At 33.6% G+C, this 22,020-nt stretch overlaps 1 protein-coding gene across 26 annotated transcripts in view; it reads left to right on the top strand.

Moving 5' to 3' along the window:
* DGKB (diacylglycerol kinase beta) overlaps window positions 1-22,020 on the top strand; it is an 829,810-nt gene that overhangs the window by 360,743 nt on the left and 447,047 nt on the right. For all 26 annotated transcript variants that reach the window (XR_001744571.2, NM_001350722.2, NM_001350711.2 and 23 more), the window contains 2 exons: window positions 703-776; window positions 6,608-6,682. Coding sequence is in view for 25 of the 26 variants with exons in the window: in NM_001350722.2 (NP_001337651.1) it covers window positions 703-776; window positions 6,608-6,682 (149 nt within the window). In the remaining variant the exon portion in view is untranslated. The remainder of the gene's footprint in view (window positions 1-702; window positions 777-6,607; window positions 6,683-22,020) is intronic.

Here is a 22,020-nt window from a genome sequence, read left to right as displayed (position 1 = left end):
TTCAACTGAGAGCTGAGTTGTGATGAAAGCAGTAGCACATGACGTATAGTCGAGTCAATTCGTGTTACCTGAAAGAGAGATCAATAGTTAATGGACTCTACTTAGCAAATATACTTGATTAACTAGCAACCTATTCAGCAAGGAGGAAAAGAAAGCACTGAACAAATTGTGTAGATAAGGACTCTTAGGCCAAAAGGGACCTCAAAGGATCTTATTGAGTTTCTTTCCAGTTCACAGGTGGTTGGGAAGATGGATTCCACACATGCCTCGAAACTCTCAATTAGGACTCCTGCGTAAAAGGAGGCCTCTCTATAAGTTGATCTCTTTCTTTGCTTCTCATCCCTTTTTCCTCAAATTCTGCTGTATTCTGGCTTGTTCACTTACTGTCTGAAAATCGTAATTTTTTTTTTTATCTTACAGGAATTACAAATGTTATTCCCTCTTCCTGACTGCCTTCCCCTCGGCCCTCTATCTAGATAGGCATGCCTTTCTTTGTGGAGGAGGTTTTCCTGTTGAACACACCACACACACATACACACGCACACACACGCACACACTCACACACACATGCACACACACACATTGTGGAAAGTAATATTATTGAAATTGCGTATTGGTATTTTATAATTTAGAAATAACAAGGAGTCTTCTTCATATATAATGGGCCTAATAATTTTTCCATGTATATAACTTTTCTTATAGGTCACTCCTGTGCCTGGTACTCACCCACTTTTAGTTTTTGTGAACCCCAAAAGTGGTGGAAAACAAGGAGAACGGTATGTTTTTTGATTGATTTTAGTGTCTATGTCATGTATATGTAAAAAAATAGACAAAACTATGATGTAAAAATGCTTAAAAACAATTATTCCTCTCTGCTAATTTTAATGCAAAATAAATGATGCTAGCATTTAATATGTTTATATGATCTTGTTTTTAGGATTGAAATTTTAATACAATGGCCTTTTGTAACTATTTTTACTATTATAGCTCAGGTGTTTGAATTCTCTCTACCCCACCTATCACCCCTATCCCCTAACAAAGAGTCTGGCTTCATAAATACTGTTGAATGAAAATTGGTTCTCTAAATGGTTAACAAGATGAATCCACATAAATCATAATTCAGTACTGAGGAACCGAATTTATACCCAACATCTAGGCAAAATATATTATAATGATTTTCTGCATGTGCATTTTGGAGAACATGATGCCATATTTCCTGGAGAAGTACAATATATTTAATCTGAATAATAATGAGCTGCATTATCAGGTATTTCAGCATTCTGGCTGATAACATTTTATTTTGTAATGAATGAATGATTAAATCATATTATTTAATACAAATATGAAAATCACTACATTGAAGAGTAAATCTTATGTCTTCCTAAAGATGACAGTCATAAACAAAAATGCATTTATACCTGCCTTAATGCTTTTTAGATAACTCTCCTAATCTCAACCAAAAATAAGCAAGCAGATGAAAGCACTCATAACAAACATGATAACAGTATAACAAATTTCCTTTGTGGCTCACCAAATAGCAAAGTTGAAATGTTTCCATGAATAAAGTAATTTTTTTCTACCATTTAACTTTCCAGCTTTCTTTCCATGAAATGAAGAATGCTTTTCATTATTGAATCAACAAAACATTTTTGCTTTAAAGAGTGTAAGATTATTATCCTAGCACTTTGGGAGGCTGAGGTGGGCAGACCATGAGGTCAGGAATTTGAGACCAGCCTGGCCAACATAGTGAAACCCCGTCTCTACTAAAATACGAAAAAATTAGCGAGGCATGGTCGTGGGCACCTGTAATCCCAGCTACTTGGGAGGCTGAGGCAAGGAGAATCACTTGAACCTGGGAGGTTGCAGTAAGCCAAGATCGTGCCACTGCACTCCAGCCCAGGTGACCGTGTGAGACTCTGTCTCAAATAAATAAAATAAAATAAAATAAAATAAAATAAAATGAGTATAAGATTTTTTCTTTTCATCAGTATATAGTTATGTTTTACTCCTCTAAACATGATAGAAATTATTTTAAATAATGTTTTAATAATTAAAAATATTCCTAATGCTTTATTAAAGGGAATAGTTTTACTCATAAAATAATCATTAAATAATAATGCTGAAATTACTTTCTTCTTTACTATTTACAGTCAGTTAGCTGTATATGTTATTGATAGTTTAACAAAAAAAGAAAACTTTCCACAAAGGATTAGATGAGACTTAAATCCACATTGGAAATTACAGAATATTGAAGTTTGAAGAGAAAAAAAATAGTATTTTCAAAGGAAAATAATTTTTCTCCAATTAAGATAATATGAATCATGTAGAATGACCCTTAGTTGAATATTTGCCTTCCCTTTCTACCAGTACATATAAATAATTTTCCCTAAATTAAAAATATACATATATATATATATAGTTACACTAAAATGTTAAGTAAATTAAATTTACTGGGGGCTTCAACTTCGAGCTCTTCTATATACACATCCACGTGTGTTTTGTTCTTTATTCATTGACTGGGACCACGCGAAGTCAAATGAAATGTAAATATGTTTTAAAGGTGATCTGTTTTCAATGCAAACATAATTTTTCTGCCTGCATAAGAGGCACCTTTCACAAGGTGATCCCGTTCAGTGTTTTCCTTTCCAAATTTTTTGGCTTTTTTGACTTTGATATGTTAGATAAGTTGCAAAAGGTCACAGAATCATAAATCCACATAAACTTTTCCATATCAATCAATAAGTCTGAAAATGTTCACATATGTGTTCAGACAGCAATGCCTAGTTGAATCCAAACTCTACTAGTGACTGGGAATAAGAGGCATAATACACAGTCGTGCAGAGAGGCAGGGACATAAATAGATCTGTTGCAATACCATATATTACAGGTTGAAGTAGAAATGTTTAAGATAAAAGTGCTATCAAAGTTCAGAGAAGGAGATAACTATCTCTGAAGACCAAGAAGTCTTTAGAGAAGAAGGAGCTTCTTTATAGGTTATTATATGGTAGATGTTTGCCCAATGAAAGAAGGAGAAAGGCAGACTTGTGAAATGGCAGGGTGTCAACCAAGAGGAATTTACCGGGATGACAATGTAAGGAAAAAGAGGGGAAAGATGAGAGAGAAACTGTGGCTGAATTGTGAAGATGTCTTAATTTTATATTGTGAATAACTGGACACTGGCATAAACTTTGCATCATGGATAAGGCATGGCTGTACTTAGACAACAGTATAGAGGAAGGCTGGATTGCCAAGAAATTTATAAAGCTGGTGAAAGAACTTGAAGACCTTAAGTAAGGCAGTGGGATAGAATAGCCAGGTTTGATAGGCATTTTTTTTAAGTTTGTTGCCAAGGACAACGTCAGATAGGGTATTTCCTAGGTTTTCTTTTAGGAAGGCACAGAGTTGTCCACTAGTAGGTTCAGGTGCCAGGGAAAAGAGGGTATTGAGAACAACTCTAGGTGATATGAGCAGATATTACATACTGAATTTGGAGAGTTTTATCAGTAAATATCATAAGAATTTGTTTATAAAATAATCATATTTTCACATGTATATAAAACCAATTTAGGTTTAAATATATCCCTTAACTTTAAAAAAATCTTTTTAATTTCAACTTTTACTTTAGATACAGGAGGTACATGTGCAGGTTTGTTACATGAGTATATTATGCTCAGGTAGCAAGCGTAGTACCCAACAGGTAGTTTTTTTCATATCTTCCTCCACTTCTTCCTTCCCCACTCTGGTAGTCCCCCATGTCTACTGTTCCCATGTTTAAGTGTGTGTGTTCTCAATGTTTAGCTGCTGCTTAACATTTCGTGCAGTACATGCAGTATTTGGTTTTCTGTTTCTGTGTTAATTCTCTTAGGGAAATGGCCTCCATCTCCATCCATATTGCTGCAAAGGACATGATTTCATTCTTTTGTAATGGCTGTGTAGTATTCCATGCTATATATGTACCGCATTTTCTTTATCCAGCCCAGCATTGATGGATACCTAGGTTGATTCCATGTCTTTGCTCTTGTGAATACAGCAGGGATGCAAATAAAAGTGCATGTATCTTTTTGGTATATGGTATGTTTTCCTTCGAGTTTACACCCACTAATGGGATTGCTGGGTTGAATGGTAGATCTGTTTGAAGTTCTTAAAAAAATATTCAAGCCATTTTCTACAATGGCTGAACTAATTTACATTCACAACAACAGCATAGAGGCATTTCCTTTTCTTTGCAGCCTTGCCAGCATCCACTGGTTTTTGACTTTTTAATAATAGCCATTCTGATTGGCGTGAGATGGTGTTTTATTGTGGTTTTAATTTGCATTTCCATGATTATTAGTGATGATAAGCATGTTTTCATATGTTTGTTTCCTGCTTGTATGACTTTCAAGAAGTGTCTGTTCATGTATTTTGCTCATGTTTAATGGGGTTATTTGTTGTTGTTTTTTTCCCATTGATTTAAGTTCTTATAGATTCTGGATATTACACCTTTGTTGGATGAATAGTTTGCAAATATTTTCTCCCATTCTGCAGATTGTCACTTTACTCTGTTGATGGTTTCTTTTGCTGTGCAGAAGCTCTGTAGCTTAATTGTCAATTTCTGTTTTTGTTGCAATTTGAGGACTTAATAAAAAATGTGTTGCCAAAGCCATTGTCACGTGGGGTATTTCCTAGGTTTTCTTTTAGAAATATAGCTTGGGATCTTACATTTAAATTTTTAATCCATGTTGAGTTAATTTTTGTATGTGGTGAAAGAAAAGAGTCCAGTTTCATTTTTCTGCATATGGCTAGCCAGCTATTCCAGTAACATGTATTGAATAGGAAGTCCTTTCGCTATTGTTTTGTATTTGTTGGCCTTGTTGAAGATCAGATGAAGGTTTGCAGCTTTATTTCTGAGTTTTCTACTCTGTTCCATTGGCCTGAGTGTCTGGTTTTATACCAGTACCATGCAGTTTTTGTTACTGTAGCCTTATGGTGTGATTCTTCCATCTTTGTTCTTTTTAGCTTAGGCTTGCTTTGGCTATCCAGGCTGTTTTTTGGTTAAACATGAATTTTAGAAGAGTTTTCTTCTAAGTCTTTGAAGAACGACATTGGTAGTTTCATAGAAATAGTGTTAAATCTATAAATTGCTTTGGGCAGAATAGCCATTTAACGATAGTGATTCTTCCATGAGCATGGATTTTTTTTCATTTGTTTGTGTCACCTCTGATTTCTTTCAGCAGTGCTTTGTGGTTCTCCTTGTAGAGCACTTTCACCTCCTTCCTTAGTTGTATTCCGAGGTATTTCATTTTTTGTGTGTGACTCTTGTAAATGATATTGTATTCTTGACTTGACTCTGGCTGGATGTTATTGAACTGCTATTGATTTTTATACATTTATTTTGTGTCCTGAAACCTTGCTAAAATTCTTCAGTTCTAACAGCCTTTTGGTGGAATTTTGACAGTTTTCTGAGTATAGAATCATTATCAATGAAGAGAGAGAGCTTGATTTATTTTCTTGTTTGGATACCTTTTATTTCTTTCTCTTGTCTAATTGCTCTGATTAGAACTTCCAGAACTATGTTGAATAGGAGTGGTGAGAGTGGGCATGTTTTGTTCCAGTTTTGAAGGGGAATTCTTCCAGCTTTTGCTCATTCAGTGTGCTGTTGGCTGTGGGTTTGTCATAGATGGCTTTTATTATTTTGAGTTATGTTCCTTTGATGTCTAGTCTGTTGAAGATTTTTTTTCATGACAGGATTTTGTATTTTATTAAATGCTTTTTCTGCATCTATTGAGATAATTATATGGATTTGGCTTTTAATTCTATTTATGTGGTGAATCACATTTATTGATTTGTGTATGTTGAACCAACTTTTTATCCCAGGAATAATGCCTAACTGATTGTGGTAAATTAACTTTTTGATGTACTATTTATCTCTTTACTTTTAGTATTTGTCTAAGAATTAAAACAGTGTGAGATATGTGCATGCATAGAAACATTTCTATTGCATTTATTTATAAAGATTGTTTTCTTTCAGAAAAAAAGAATTATTTGTCATATGCTGCTAAGACAGTTTAGCAATTTTGTGAGATGACTGGTCAAGATCTTGTTTATGTGAAATGATTAGGCCAGATGAGGCTACATTCTTTGCTTACATGTACACATATACAATGTACAGTCCCGTTTCATATAGGGGATAGATAATTTTCAGATCTATCAGAGATCTATAGAGGACAAATTATTCACAAGGATTTACTGAGAGAAGATATTTAGGCAATTTTATACTGAAATATTAAAAAAATACATTTATTTGAAATCTAGTTAGCTAAATAATGTTCAAAAGCGGGTTAGAGAATATCCTAAATGTATGTGCATATTAAGGATCCAAGCAATATTTCTAACTTATGAACTATATTGCCTTAATAGTGGCTACTAAGCCTTTTAAAAAACCATTAATTCCTATTGAGCTGTTGGACTTCTGATATTGATTCAAAATTTATTAAATTGATAGAAATTTTTTATTAAATTATATAATTAATTGCAACTATATATATTTTATAACACTGAGAGACATTACTTATTTTAAAAGTATTGAATATTATTAAATTTTTTCCCCACATTTTCACCTTTATAGAATTTACAGAAAATTCCAGTATCTATTAAATCCTCGTCAGGTTTACAGTCTTTCTGGAAATGGACCAATGCCAGGGTAAGTCCAAGGATAATATTATTACCATTAACTCAGTTAATGTTAATTAATTAAATAAGCTGCCTGACATATGTAGAAATAATGTTATTTGAACACAGCAGCATATTAGTACATAAAAATGAAATATCAACTACGTAAGAGAAATGAGTGCAAATACTGGTTTTCCAAAATAGTCCATTTCTAGCAGATTTTTCTTCTTTCTAAATATTGTGAAGTAATGCTCCTTATTGTACTAATGATGATATTAATCTCACACACACACACACACACACACACGACAAACTAGCTGAATGCCAGTTTGAACACTGCCAAACCATGTATTTGAAGAACGATTCTCTTTTATTGTACTTCTTATATTTAAAATATCTGCTAAAAGTAAAGAGAAAGCTAGTTAGTCCATTTATGCCTAGTGTTCCATTATTGGAACACTAAGCATGTAGGAGTTATTTATATTCTACAGCTTAAGGTCATTGCCAAGGTCTTATTTTTAAATTCAAGTTAAATTTTAAAAATTGCAACCTCCAGCATAAATGGGTTAATGAAAAAAATCATACGATTTCATTTACTACTTACCAAATCTAATCAATATCACTCTCTTATACTTCATTGTTAACAGGTAAGATCTAGTAAAATAAATTTTTAACATAAACTGTATACTTTTGAAGTTACTGATATGCACCTAAACAAATCACCATTAATTTGGCTTAGTTAAATAATTAATGTCATTTTATTTCATTGACCTCTTTTCTTTCTGTCAACATGAGGGTAAACATTAGACCACATGAAGTGGACAGAAGCTCTATAAGCTTTATGCATGCTTCATTTTTTTTTTTTAAAAAAAAGGCAGTTGATTTAAAATTAGTCTTACTTCTCATTCTCAGGAACCAGAAACCAAGTATTTAAATAGTACTCTTTTAAAAACTCAGAATAAAATTTGTACCATAGTGTCTTACCCAAAAAATACATTCATAAAGTATAATTAATTAGCATAGTCTTTCAGCATTATATTCAGCTCTTTCTTCTACTGCCTTGCTGCCTGCTGTCTGGGATCAGTTTCCCAATGCTGAGCAGTGATCTGCAGAACCTCCTTCCTGTGGAAGACAGGCTCATCACAGGAATTTAGTTCAGAACAATGTCTTTGTCAAGCTTCACAATCCAGAATCTAGAGGATCATGATCAGACTGTTGGCTAAGTGAGCTAGCTACATGCAGGAAGTCCCCAAGTAGATAAAGCCAAGCAAAAGTAAAGTATTGTAAACTCAAGCTCAGTCAGGATGGCTCTTTTTCTTGTCCTTTAATATTCTCTGGACTTCAAAAAAGTAGCTCTTCTTTGAATTAGGATATTGTGCATTCAAAACTGTTGCCATTCTAAGACCCCTGTAAGTTGAATCAAACCAAGTTAATCCAGGATTTTCCTGTATTTCATAGTTAAACAAGAGGTCAATTGGCTCTGCTAATTACAAGCCTTACAGTTTCACCTCTGTGTGGCTTCATTATCTTATCTGTAAAATGAGGATTTCTGCCTGCCTTATAGGATAGTTGTGAAGTTAAATGGGATAATGCCTATGAAGCAAATAACAATGTACTTACTGCATAGCATGTCCTCAGTGAATGTGGTTTATTATCCGTATTATTTGTACAAATATGAATTAATAATTAATAAAAACATGACTGTTTTGTAGCACTATGTAAATATATTGGAATAAATTTGATTTTAGCCCTGTTCTCTCATCTCACTTTTTTCCTACTACACTTTAAATATGTACTACATGTTTCCTTCTACTCTTTCAGTTCTAGGCATCCTGTTATCCTCTGCTCTATCTTAACATGTTTAAAAAATGAAAGTAATGTATGTAACTGTAAAAAGTCTACACTACAATGAATATTATTTAGAAAAAAATTTAAAGGTCCCACTTTGAGCACTACTACTCCTCAGAAATTATTATTGTGGTTGTTTGCTGTAGCTTCCCAATCTAATACACACATATAAATGAGCATATTCCCCTCTATCTATAACGTATTCATACACACACACACACACACACATATATAGGTGTATATATATATAGTATATATATATGAAATATATATATGAAATATAGGTAGATAGTTTTTTACGTAACAGAATATAGATTTTATATTATCTTGCAACTTGCTTTCTGCACTCTAAAGCAGGTGATACACATTGTTCCGTTTCAGTAGACATTGATCAGTTTCATTTTTCTAACTGCTGCATGATATTCCATAATCATGTGAGCCATCCCATTACTGATGAATATTTATATTGCCTGTGTTTTACAATTATTACCAAATATGCTACGTCAATATCTATCAATTTATCTGCATATTCTTGAAAGTGTGTTCAAATATTTTTATGGTATCAGTGGCTATGAGTAGAATTGCCTGGCTGAAAATATTCAATGTCAAAAGTTTGTTTTAAAAAATGATTAAATATAATTGTGTTGAACTTTTAGCTTCATCTTGATCAACATGAGAATGTCCTGTTTGCCTCTGATACTGATGCCCACACTGCATCCCTAGTGTCAGACTCAGACTTCTGTTAGAGAGCTAGTCTTTGTTTATCCTAAAGGCAAATGCCACAGGTAGTTGCTCAGAACGGGGACTCTGGCCAGGCTATGATGTTGCCCTTTCTCTGAACTCAATGACTGATCTGCTCACTTGTGAATCCTCCCAGCCCTGTTTTCTAGCTGTATTGCCCCTGATCATGCTAAGAGTGTCCTATTGCAGTGATTCCCTTTTAATGTATGGCGTTAGAAGTTGCTCTGTTTCATAAGGTCTCCCTATTACTCTGATACCCTTGGTGATTTATACATTTTAGTTTTATCACCATTTCTAGTTTATTACTTTTCCAATGCTAACAATAGGTTTTTGAATGCATACTCTTGAAAGTATAGTATGCATTTTTTCTGCTACTTTAAACCTGTGGTTATGCATTCTTCCAAATTCTTTTTTAAAAATATTTTCCTCTTTACCACACCAGATTGATGTATTCTTTTGGTATACAACTCTTCTTTTATCCCAACTTTATTTTTTTTCAAAAACTATGTTTATAAGAGGAAATAACTTTCTTGAACTAAAACTATTCCTAATCTAAATTATCTGGCAAATACTAAAACTCACTGGGCATTTCATTTTTTATCTTTAATTGTTTTTAAAACAGAAATGGGTGTGTATTATGTGTTTCCATTCTATCTCTTTATATAAATCATCTCTCCCTGATCCTGATTATTCTGTTTCAAGGTGTCTGAAACAATAGTCTCTTTCAAATAAGTTGTTTCTTTCCTAATGGAACATGTTGTGATATAATTGAATAAATTATTTGGAGGTATAGGTTAGTTAGAAGAGATGAAATATAAAATATAAATTACTCTTGGGCTTTATATAACAATATGTTTTCCTTCACTACATTAAAATAAGTATGTATAGCTCTAGCTGTACACCAACTTCACATGTTAATGTGACTTATGAAAAGTTCATATCAAGTTTTTTGTATACTTGTGACATTACTTTTCCCCTTCTGAATCTAATCTTCATGAAAATACAGATGGTTTATTCTCACATTATTTCTAAAATTTTAAGTGAGAAATAGGAAGCACTTAATGAATTGAAATAAAATACAAGATAACTTTAAAATATGTAAATTATTTTTCAGATTGATCAGGATAATTAAGAATAATTAATTGTGTGTGAGAAAGCTGCTCTTAGAAATCTTTGCTTCCATCTACCTGAACTAAATGCAAACGACACATAATTTTAAAAATATAATGCAACAGTCAACCTACAGATTTACATATTTCAAATATGCATATTTCATAGTGAAACTTTGGAATATATTCTCCTATTAAAATAAATGTATAATTTAGAAAATGCATAACAGATTTCACAGATTTCATTATCTTCTTAATTTAAAATATCATTTTATATAACCAAATTTCTACCATATTTTATTTAAGGAAAATCAGAGCTTATGACCTTTTACATATGCCTCTTGTTATGAAATTATGACACAGAAATGAACAGAATCCTCAAAAGGCTAAGGAAATGTTCATCAAAATTTAATTGAGCTCTGTTGCAAATTTCAAAAATAAAAAATTTTCTTTACTAATATAAAAGTGAAGCACTCAACTCTATCCTTCTCATGATTAATCATAAAATAAAATGCAGATGATTCGGCAAGCTCTCCCCCAATTAAATGTGTAAGCATAATTCTGATTCTGCCTTGGTCACTGGAGTGATGGAGTATGAAAATTGATTCATGCTTCTAAAATTAAAGATCTATGGATTAATAAAAGTAACAAAAATATGTTACCACAATGAATAAGGTCACATAATTGCTTGCCTTTCACACAAATTTCCCCCTTTGAGTCATTGTAGGCCTTTAGTCACCTTTTACATGCATCCACAAATGCACTATGATTTTAAAGATGTTGAAAAGTCTAGCTTTTATTATCTATCTCACCAACAAAGGCCAAATAGCAATTAGACTAGAGATCTGTGTGTCACTGTTTAAAGATTATTGCCTATCAAAATTGCTGAAACACTCTAAAGAAACAAACATGTTCTGAATTGGCCATTTGAAATGACCGTTTCGTATTTGTGTGTGTGCTTTAACTTGTGTTTTATTCTGTTCTGGCTGCTATAACAAAATCCCTTAGACTGGCTAATTACAAACAACATAAATTTATTTCTCACAGTTCTAGAAGCTGAGAAGTCCAAGGTCCAGGGGCCAGGAGATTTGGTATCTGCTGATGGCTCACTTTTTGTTTCCAAGGTGGTGTCTTCTTGCTGTATCCTCTGGAGAGAATGAATGCTGAGTCTCCACATGGCAGAAGAGCAGAAAAACAGCTGGCTGGTTTCCTCAAGCCCCTTTACAAATTCACTAATCCCATTCGTAAGCGTAGAGTCCTCATGACCTAATCACATCCTCAGTACCCCACCTCCCAATACTATTGCTTTGGGCACTAATTTTAAGCATTAATTTTGGAGACACATGAAAGTTCAAACCATAGCATTCTGGATTGGGTCCCCCAAAATTCGTGTTCTTCTTACATACAGATACATTACATTCATTCCATCCCAATAGTCTCAAAGTCTTAATTTGTTTTAATACCAACTCAAAAATCTAAAACCCAGAGTCTCATCTAAATATCTTCTAAATCAGATATGGATGAGACTCAAGGTATGATCCATCCTGGGCTAAATTGCTCTTCTGCTGTACCCCTGTGATATCAAAACATTTCTGTTGTTTATAAATTACCCTTTATAGACTTTTAGACTTTACAGACTAAAGTAGTTTGTTATAGCTGCTAGAATGGACTAAGACAGAATTGGTACTAAGGAGTGAGGTGCTAATGTAACAAATTCCTAAAAACGTAGAAGGTGCTATGTGGACTGGGGAGAGGCTGCAATATGGAGGATGAGGAGGAGGAGAAAGAGGAGGAGGAAGAGGAGGTAGAGGAGGAGGAGGAGAGGTGGGGGATAGAAGAAGAAAGAAAGAAGACCATAGAGAGAGGTTCAGTCTTAGAGATTATCTACATGGTTGCGAACAAAATGTTGCTAGAAATATGGATAAGAAAGGCCATTGTAATGAGGTTTCATACGAAAATGGGGAACAAGTTATTTGCAACCAGAGGAAAGGCAATCCTTGTTATGAAGTGGCAAAGAACTTTGTCGAATTGTATCCATGTCCTACTATTTTGTGGGAGGTTGAATTTTAGAGTGATGAAATACCATGGAGTGATACTTGGTAAAAGAAATCTCTAAGCAAAGTGTTGAGGGTGTGGCATGGCTTCCCTTGACTGCTTATAGTAAGATGTAATAAGAGAGAAATGAATTAGTGACAGAATTTGTCATCAAAAGGGAAGCAAAAATTAAGGATTTGACAAATTCTCAGACTGGCCAATTGGTAAAGAAAGAGAAATGTGTTTATGATAAAACACCAAGGGTGTTACCAATGAAAGTTTGGGTAGATTAGTATGTCTAGAAGGAATCTAGAATGCTATTCATCAAGACAATGGAAGAGTGGCCCTGAAAACGTTTCAGAGATCTTCAAGGCTGCCACTCCCATCACAGGCCCACAGTGTCAGGGCCTTGAGGACAGAAAGACTTCAAAGAGGGATTCAGAGCACCTGTGGGATCTCAGGGCTCACTTCCCAGAGCTGCCTCAAGTTTCTGCTCAATGCATTCTAGTGCAGCACTCCTGGGCCACTCCATCTGTGGCTCCAGTGAGCCTCAGTGCAACCAGAGCCACCCTTCAGGAGACAGAGGTGGCAAAGGTTTGCAGCATCCAGCTGGTGCTAACTCTGCAGGCACAGAGTGCAAAAGCTGTGAAGGCATGCCTACCTCTGCCTAGATTTCAAAGGATGGAGAGGTCCTTGAGATCCCCAGACCCCAGACAGAGAACTGCTACATGGTTCAGGCCCCTGCAGAGAGCCTCCACTAGGACAATGCCTAGTGGAGCTATGGGGGCTGGGCCACCTCTGAGACTCCAGGCTAGTAAAGCCAGCCTGAGAGAGCTGTTGGCATTCAACTCTAACAAGTGAGAAATGCAGTGTGGGCTGCACACAGCACAGCCATGGAAGGAATGGGGGTTTCGGAGCCTTAGGGGCTTAAACTCTGCACAGTGTGTTCAGAAGGCAGGACACATCGTCAAAGAGGGTTTTTTGGTTTTTGTTATTCCCAGCTTCAAGAGTTAATGTTGTTTGCCTTGTTGGGTGTTGGACTTACTTGGGACTTGTTACTCCTTTCTTCTTTCCTATTTATCCCTTTTCAATGGTATTGTCCATTCTATCGTACACCATTGTACTTTGGAAGGACCTAACTTGCTTGATTTCACAGGCCCACAGCTGGTGGGGAATTTTCCTCAAAATAAATTGTACCTGGAGTGGTAACTCTGTATTATTTAGATGACGGTTAGAGGAGACTCTGGACTTTAGACTTTTTAGTTGATGCTGGAAATTGTTAAAACTTTTGGGGCTCCTGGGATAGAATGGATGTATTTTACTTATCAGAAGAACATAAATTTTGGGAGAGCAGAGGCAGAATGCTATGGTTTGAATACTTGTGTCTCTCCAAAATTTATATTGAACCTTAATCACCAATGCAATCATATTAAGAGGTGGAGCAATGAGCAAATGATTAGGTTATGAGGGCTCTACCCTCATGAGTTGGATCAATGCCCTTATAAAATGGCTCAAGGGAACTAGCTCTCGCCTTTCCCCTTCTACTGCCATGTGAAGATACAGCATTCATCCCTCTGCCATGAGTGGATGCATCAAGAACGTGCCATCCTTGAAGCAGATAATAAGCCTTACCAGACAACAAATCTGTTGATGTCTTGACCTTGGACTTCCCAGCCTCCAGAAATGTGAGAAATAAATACCTGTCATTTATAAATTATCCAGTTTCAGTTATTTTCATATAGCAGCACAAATGAACTAAAGTAATCTGTTTCTGATTTTTTTTCTATAGGAGTTAAGTTTTTAATAAATAACATATTTTACTTAAATATCCTCCCATTTACTGTTATGTAAGTGTACATAGTAAAATTACTGGCTCAAATTCACCTCCAGCCCCAGGCAGTTAACTGATGATAGCTTACCAATAAGTAAAAATAAGAAAACCCATAGCAGATGAATTGGTTCAAAACATTTATTCAATGGCTACCAGATGCCAGGAACAATCTCATCACTGCCAATCCACTCTGAACAAAACGGATAATAACTCTTGCCCTCACAGCCTTATATTTTAGTGATGGAAAACATATATTAAACTAATAAACAGGTGAAATATACATATATTAGCAGGGAATGTAAACAAGGAGTGTGCATTGTTGGTGAGGGTTTCGTGGTTGTTCTTTTAAATGAGGTGGAGAAGAACTGGCTGAGTATAGATGTGAAGATGAGGAGGTAGCTCATTGTCATCTTGTACAAGAGCTTTTAAGGCAGAGAGAGCAGCAAGCATAAAAGCATAATGATTGGAAAATATTGTGTAAGTTTGGGAAACATTAGCAAGAAGCCCAGGGAGACTAGAACAGAGTGAAGGGCAGTCGGATGTCAGAAAGCTACTAAGGGCTAGTTCACAGAGGGTTTTAGGATTATTGTGACCATAATAATTAGGTTTACCTAAGATTCTTCAGGTTGTTTCTGGTGTCCTAGCATCTGGCCCAATTTAGCATTTGCCCAGGACTGTATTGTATTTTAAGTATTGCTATTAATAAGTGCATTGCAATGAAGAATGATGATGATGTGTTTGGCAGCCCTCCAATTTCTAAATCCAGCTTTTGCTGTGTTATCCTCTTGTAATGTGTAAGACACACGTCCAAGGAAGAGAGATCTGACTTTAATAGTAATCATTATACCTAAAACGTGACCAAAAATAAACTATTTTCCAATGTTCTTTAAACACAAAAACAAGTGACAACTTTTGAAGAATTGGTATCCCTTTTATGCCAGCCCATTATGCTGTGGCCTGGACCTCACAGCTCCCTGAGAGTTGCAAAGGGTCACAAATATACCAATCAGAAATGCCTGTGGAGATATTGACAAATCATAGGTTAGATGTTCATGAAATGTATGTGAGAAAAAGAGCATGAGCAGTTTTACCAAGAATGTATAGTGAATGGCTTGAATATACTTCCTCAATGTTTTATTTTTCATTAAATATATAGTTTATAAATATTTACTTTATAATAGATTTTTATTTTGCAATAACACTTTTCAGCAAAAGATAGCTTAAAAATAAAATGTCTTTTAAATAAAAATAATCTGAATTTCAAAACAAAAAATAGTTCTGAATTTCTGTTTCTTAAAGAGTTGATGAATACATAATCTGTGTGAAATATTTATGAACATTTACCATCTGCAATGAGAGCTCCAGTGATATCATTGACTATGCAGAAATCAGTAAACACAACTATGCTGAAGAAACATGAGCATCTGCTTTAAAATTAATAGTTAATTCTCTGCCCCAAAGCAATCATTTAGTATGCAGAAAGTCCCTTTGCATATCACTCTTTGAAGCATGACTTTTCGTTTAGATCAAATGACTTTTCAAAATTAGTGTTAATTTTCAATTCCAAGTTTCTTTATGTGTATTATTAATGAAGTTATAGCTGTTAATATCTTGACTCCATTAGCAGAATAACTTTTCCAAAAGATCAAGTAATGCCATTTTTATATCAGAGTGATCAGAATGTTTTAAATGAAACATCTGTTTGTTGCAAAGATGATTTGAATTCATTCAATTCATGCACTCTAAATAAAGTTTTTTGGAAGTTCATTTGGATGAAGGTGAGACATTAGATATTAGTGATAATGCTATCATAAAATCAGTATAAACGTTTAGCACTACTGATACAATAATTTCCTTCTGTGGGAATAATTTGAATGTAGATTCTGGTGAAGCATGCCATCATGGCAAAAACGTGATTTCTAATACAGTAATGAATTGATTGATAAAAAAGATTGTGCTTTAAATTGATTGCTCACATAAATTATAATCACATCCCAAGAAATTTTAATATTCTAATAATTAAAATAAAAGCCATAATTATATTGCTTGTACACATGCATGCACACACACACACATGTAAATTATTCAGTTATTCTCCTACTGATTCAGTAGTCACCCAGGAACCTTCTGGACCAAAATAATAATAATAATAAGACTCAAGTCTTAGGTGACTCAAGTAATAAAACCCTGTAAAAATCTCTCTGGACAACAGTCCTTCAGCCAGTCTTTTCCTGATTATACATACCCTCCTCTTCTATTTAAAATCTGCAACTCAAGGAGCATGAAAATTTAAGGTAATTTAATATAGAGGTTATCAGCATATAGAAATCTACAACTTGAATTATATTATTGGGTAACAGTGTTCTTCGTAATCAAGACAAGTTTAGCCTAATAAACACACTCCGAAAAGCAGATAATTGGATTTGGAATATAATACATTTGATAAAATTGATACAAATTATATTTACAACTATTAAAATCATAAATATCTTGGTGTCTAAGATACTAATCTTCAATTATGTACATATCATTTCCTGAAAATGGCAGATGTTTGTTGAATTCATAATGTTTTATTCTCCAATTACATTATTTACTTTTACTTATCTCTTCTTGATGAGTCATGTATTTTTCATTTAGTTACCTTTATGCCTATAGTTAGAATTCTGTGTAATTAAATTATTCATGGTTTTTTTTGAGACGGAGTCTTGCTCTGTCGCCCAGGCTGGAATGCAGTGGCAGGATCTCGGCTCACTGCAAGCTCCGCCTCCTGGGTTCACGCCATTCTCCTGCCTCAGCCTCCCGAGTAGCTGTCATATTTTAAATTATGGTCTCTGACCAGTATTATGCTATAGTAAGATGTGTGCCCAGAAGCAGATGCTCTTGAAGGCAATGAATCTTCAACTTCAGTGTCTCTCACTTGCAAGGACTCCTTTCAAGACTATAGGAAGGATCTTAGCAATGTGGTTGTATTGCCTTTCTCATTTGAGTTTTTGATATTTTAAAAAGAGGGTATTTTAACTACAAGAATTTTTATGAACAATGTTAGTTAAGCCAGCTCAGTAGTAATGCATAGAGAGGCAAATATATCAATGGAAGATAATTAAGAGCCCTCCCCCATGCCCTGTATATGTATTGGTATTAACCAGAAAAATTGGGCATCTATATGGAAAAATAAAACAGTAAAAAACAAAAAAGACTTTTGTCTCCATTCCAACTCCTTTTTCATCACACTTTACCTAGTGACTAGTAGCATTGGAATGAGCATGAGCATTTTAGGATCTGACTAAAAGAGGATGAGGTCCAATTACATGATTGAACCCTGAGACTTATAATATGTGGTTCATGGATATTTTTGTGTATGGTTGTTATTGCTAGTTCTCCTGGTGTAAAAATGACTTCCAGGCATATCCCCATTGCTCAGTGTGACTTTACACTGGTTTTCTGACATAAATTTAAAGAGCCAGAAGACATGTCTTGATAAAAATGGTCCAGAGCCTGCCTGGTAACAGAATATGTGTATAGTAGGGGAGAAATGAGGTTTGAAATGTACAAAGTTCAAAGCTTATCCTTGGAAAATTCTTCTAATCATCCCATTCAGTTCTCTTTAATGTGTCATCAAAACAGAAGCGTTATTCTTCCAGGAATACAGTTAACAATGCAGTATAAACAATTTTAAATTTTTATTATTGATGAAAGTTACATGATATTAAATGTATCATTATTCCTGTGCTTGTAGAGCACAGCCTATATCAGCTCTACAACAAGCAGGCATGTTTATGTGTAAAGTACATGTTTTATAAATCTCTATGAAATATCGCCATCAATGAAGATACCTAAAACTCACAATATGTCATGTTATTAACGTAACAATGGTTAATGTATATCATGAATTCAAACAGTACTTAAGGTTAGTCATTGAACAAAAAATTGAAATGCCTGCAAGTCTTACAGCTTGGCTATGACCAAAAACCCAATATTGATTTTCACGTATTTAACAATAATACTAAAAATTTACTTTATCAATGATGACTTGTGAAGCTAAGTGGAACATTCCTAATAAATCATCAATTTAAACATATCTTAATAAATCATTCTAGAGGAAAAGAAAATTATCTTTTAACCTCAGTACAAATATTATTTTAAATTACCATATAAAAATGTAAAAACGAAGCATTAAGCAGTTTACTAATTTATAAAACTATGTTATTTGAAATCCTATGATGTAATGTTTGTAAGCTATCTTAAATTTACAATCTAATGTGATTTTTTATTATAGATAAGTATTTATTTATACATATTTATATATATACATCACTTTTATAAAAGTTTGTACACATTTATTTTGCATATTTTTTCTTAAAGGGGGGCCTCAATTTTTATAAACATCAGGCCCTACATAATCAGGATTCACTCTCCTGCTCCTTATTTATCAAAGAGAGATCATAAGGAGGAAATTAACTTATTATGTTCAATAGTCCATGAACACAAGTTCCATGAGTATCTCAAATTCTACATGTCTATTACTAAACTAGTTTTCTCCCTTTTTCCCGAATTTACACACTGTTTTTATTCTCTAACTTGATGAATAAAAAGACCATTCACTAAAGAACCGCTTTCTCATTCCCACTGACAGTATGTCACTTCAGGCTTTCAAGATTTGTCATCTAACCACTCTCCTAGGATCTATATTTACCCTCCTTCTTACATAACAACCCTTCACTCAATTTCTCCTCACTTCTGTCCCCCAATTCATCAGCTAATTAACTTTACCTAAGCTTCGAGATTCAACTCATATGTCTCCAAGTTTATTAAGCCACCCCTCATCCCTACCTAGTCCACATTAACTGCCCTCAAAGAGCATCTTATAGTGACCTGAACTGTGTGTTTTCTTGTCTGCCTTCTCAGTTAAGCCAGTGAGATACTCAAAGGCAAGAATTCTACCTTGTTTTGAATCTCTGGAATCTATCTCAGTTCCTAGTACATAGTTGCAGTTACTACATTTAAATTAAATAAGTGGATAGATACAGGTGCCATTTCATTTATAAAGTATTTAGAGCTATTCTTTTGTATTTGACCCTAAGCAAAGTCTTTTTTCCCTATAGAAGTCTAGATTTATTTCCTTTCAAAATACATTCTTACTTCACACTCTAAGCTAACTCCATGGAATGATCTGATGTGTACAGAATAAAACCTCATTCTAATTATTAATATTAAAATCATTCACACGACAGAATGGATTTCAGTAAATTTGTCAAACAGTCTTCAGCAACCTAATCACTTGTGCTGCTACATTTTAGGGGTTAATTTTATAGATGATGAATTTGGACCATAAAATATATGTGCTTTCCAATTAGAAGTAATAAGAATGAATTATTCCATTTTAACTTCTTTCAAATATCAGGAAGACTGTGTAACTTCTGTTTTAATTGACACTCTTTATCGTATTTTTCCCTTCATTTTCAACTTACTACATCAGAATTGTCTGTCAATTCTCTATGTTTAGTCATGTAACTTACAAGAAATATTTTAACCTGCATTTCCAAACATATATATATGCATATCAGTACACACATAACTTATGCATATTCATTAATACCTTAAGAGATGGACTTTCATGTAGCATGACCATAAATTTTACTGCGTATTTGTAGCAGTAAATACAGTATGAAAATACTAAGTTCAATTAAATCCCTCCCTTTCTAATGTAAAAAACACACTTACAGATGAGAGAAAATGGCGTTTTAAAAGGTGTTTTGTGTTCTTCAGTGTTAAAAAACAAAATTACAACAAAGTTAGTTTAAAGATCTCATTGGCTTATATTTGCAATTCTAGAATTGGGTAACACCTAATTCTATAGAATAGTATGAGTGTTCCAATGAACTGAGCACAGGAGTTTGGCTTTATAAGCAGAAGAGGGCTGAAGAAAGCAGAAATAAGGCATGAAAGGCAGATTGGTCATTTCAAAGTTACTTTTCTTACAGGGTCAAAACCGAAAGGACTTCCTTATCATGCTAGCTCTGGTGAACTGGGCCCCTTCTGATTGGATGCTGCAAATCTCCTGTGTTGTTTTTTTCTTTTTTTAACTGGACCATTTTAAAGTTCAATTTGATTACATGGCACTTAGCACAAGTGACTCCATTCTGGTTTGTTCTGGTCTGTTGGGGCCTAGTGCAGAAGCTCAGTCTAAAATAATGACCACTCATAATTTTTGTTTAACATCGGTTACTTGGTTTTTGAATATTAATTTATGTACTTTAAAAATATCCTTCAAGGGTTATAATTTTCCATGCAATAGAAAAAATTTATATTTTAACAAATATATTTACAAAAGTGTTTTACTTATACTAATAAAATTATAAATATTTTCTATATGATGGCAAGGATATTTCAACTAAATATTAGTGTTTCTATTCACTCAGAAATGACATTAAAAATTTGATGTTTCTGCCAATATTAATTTTTAAAGAAACATGTACATTAGTGAAGAAAGGAAAAATATTTAGGCTACATCATAGAACCTGTCATTTACTGACCTTTCATTTCTAACTCACTTTATATTAGAAGGAATATTAAAGTTATTTAATGAGATAACATTATAGGTTCCCCAGGAATAAATATTCTCTCATTTTCTGTGTCTCATGCTCTCTTTTGTCATTTCAGTCTGTGTTTTTCCCTTTCTCTGTCCCTCTCTCCTTCACTTTTAACACACATAAGCATAAAAGATTTGTTTGAGATTTCCAGAAATAATGAAATAAATGTTTCAGTTATTAATGGCCCACTGGAATATGTATATTTTTCAAATACTCTAAAACTTATTTCTGGTTATTATGGTAACATAATTATTTACACTGGGTTTATAAAGATTAATTCAAATTAATTTTTTATAACTATCCCACTTAGCCACATGGAATGTCTTCCCAAAACAGTGTAAATTCAGCTTCCACACAATATCTCAAAACTCTAAACGAATTTGTTGAAACAGGTGCATTTCCTAGTTTAACTAAATTTTATAATGTATTGTTGAACTAAAGTACATAAGATATTAGATTGGAGGATATTATTATAATTAATTTTACTTTAAATTAAAATGTTGAGAGAGTCACATTAAATTGATAAAACATCGAAACCCACAGAGAAAAACATGAAATAACCTTTCCCCCATTTTGTAATATATATAATAGAGTGAAACTTTAGGGAGCATAAATAATTCATGCATGGATTTTTAAAAGATATTACACCAGCAATAATAATAATATCAATGATACCAAGGTATGTACAGATACAGTTTGGGTATTAATAAATAAGCTGAAAGTTATTAAAAATTGGTTTTCTAGACCATAAATATTGTTTCAAAAACAACGGTAACATCACAAATCAGAAAATTCAGCCAGATTTTACTAAGGCAATTTTGAATCCATCTAATCTTGTAACTTTAAGAATAATATAGTATGTAACTGTGTACATGCAAGTATAAATATGAATTGAATAGAATAATCAGAGATAAGTATGCTTCTTTCTGTCTCTAAATGCTTAAATCAAAATGCAGACCTTTCGTAAGGAAAGCTCTTGAAATTATTTTTTCTAAACAAGAACGAGGAAAAAGAGAATTGATGACATATGGTAAAGTCATTTTGGATCCTTCAGCCTTGTGTTTCTTTAATACAAAGAGATGTAAATATGTATAATTAAAGCGAGCATTCACCATGTATAGATATGCTGAAAATATTTATGACTCTCACACTGATTTCCTCTAAGTATCAAAAATATTATTTTATGATTTATAATATATATACTACTTAGAGCCAT

This window comes from Homo sapiens, chromosome 7 (genome assembly GCF_000001405.40).
Source record: "Homo sapiens chromosome 7, GRCh38.p14 Primary Assembly".
NCBI classification, from domain to species: domain Eukaryota; kingdom Metazoa; phylum Chordata; class Mammalia; order Primates; family Hominidae; genus Homo; species Homo sapiens.
Note: the sequence above shows the minus strand (reverse complement) of the source record. Positions and strands in the feature narration are given on the sequence as shown.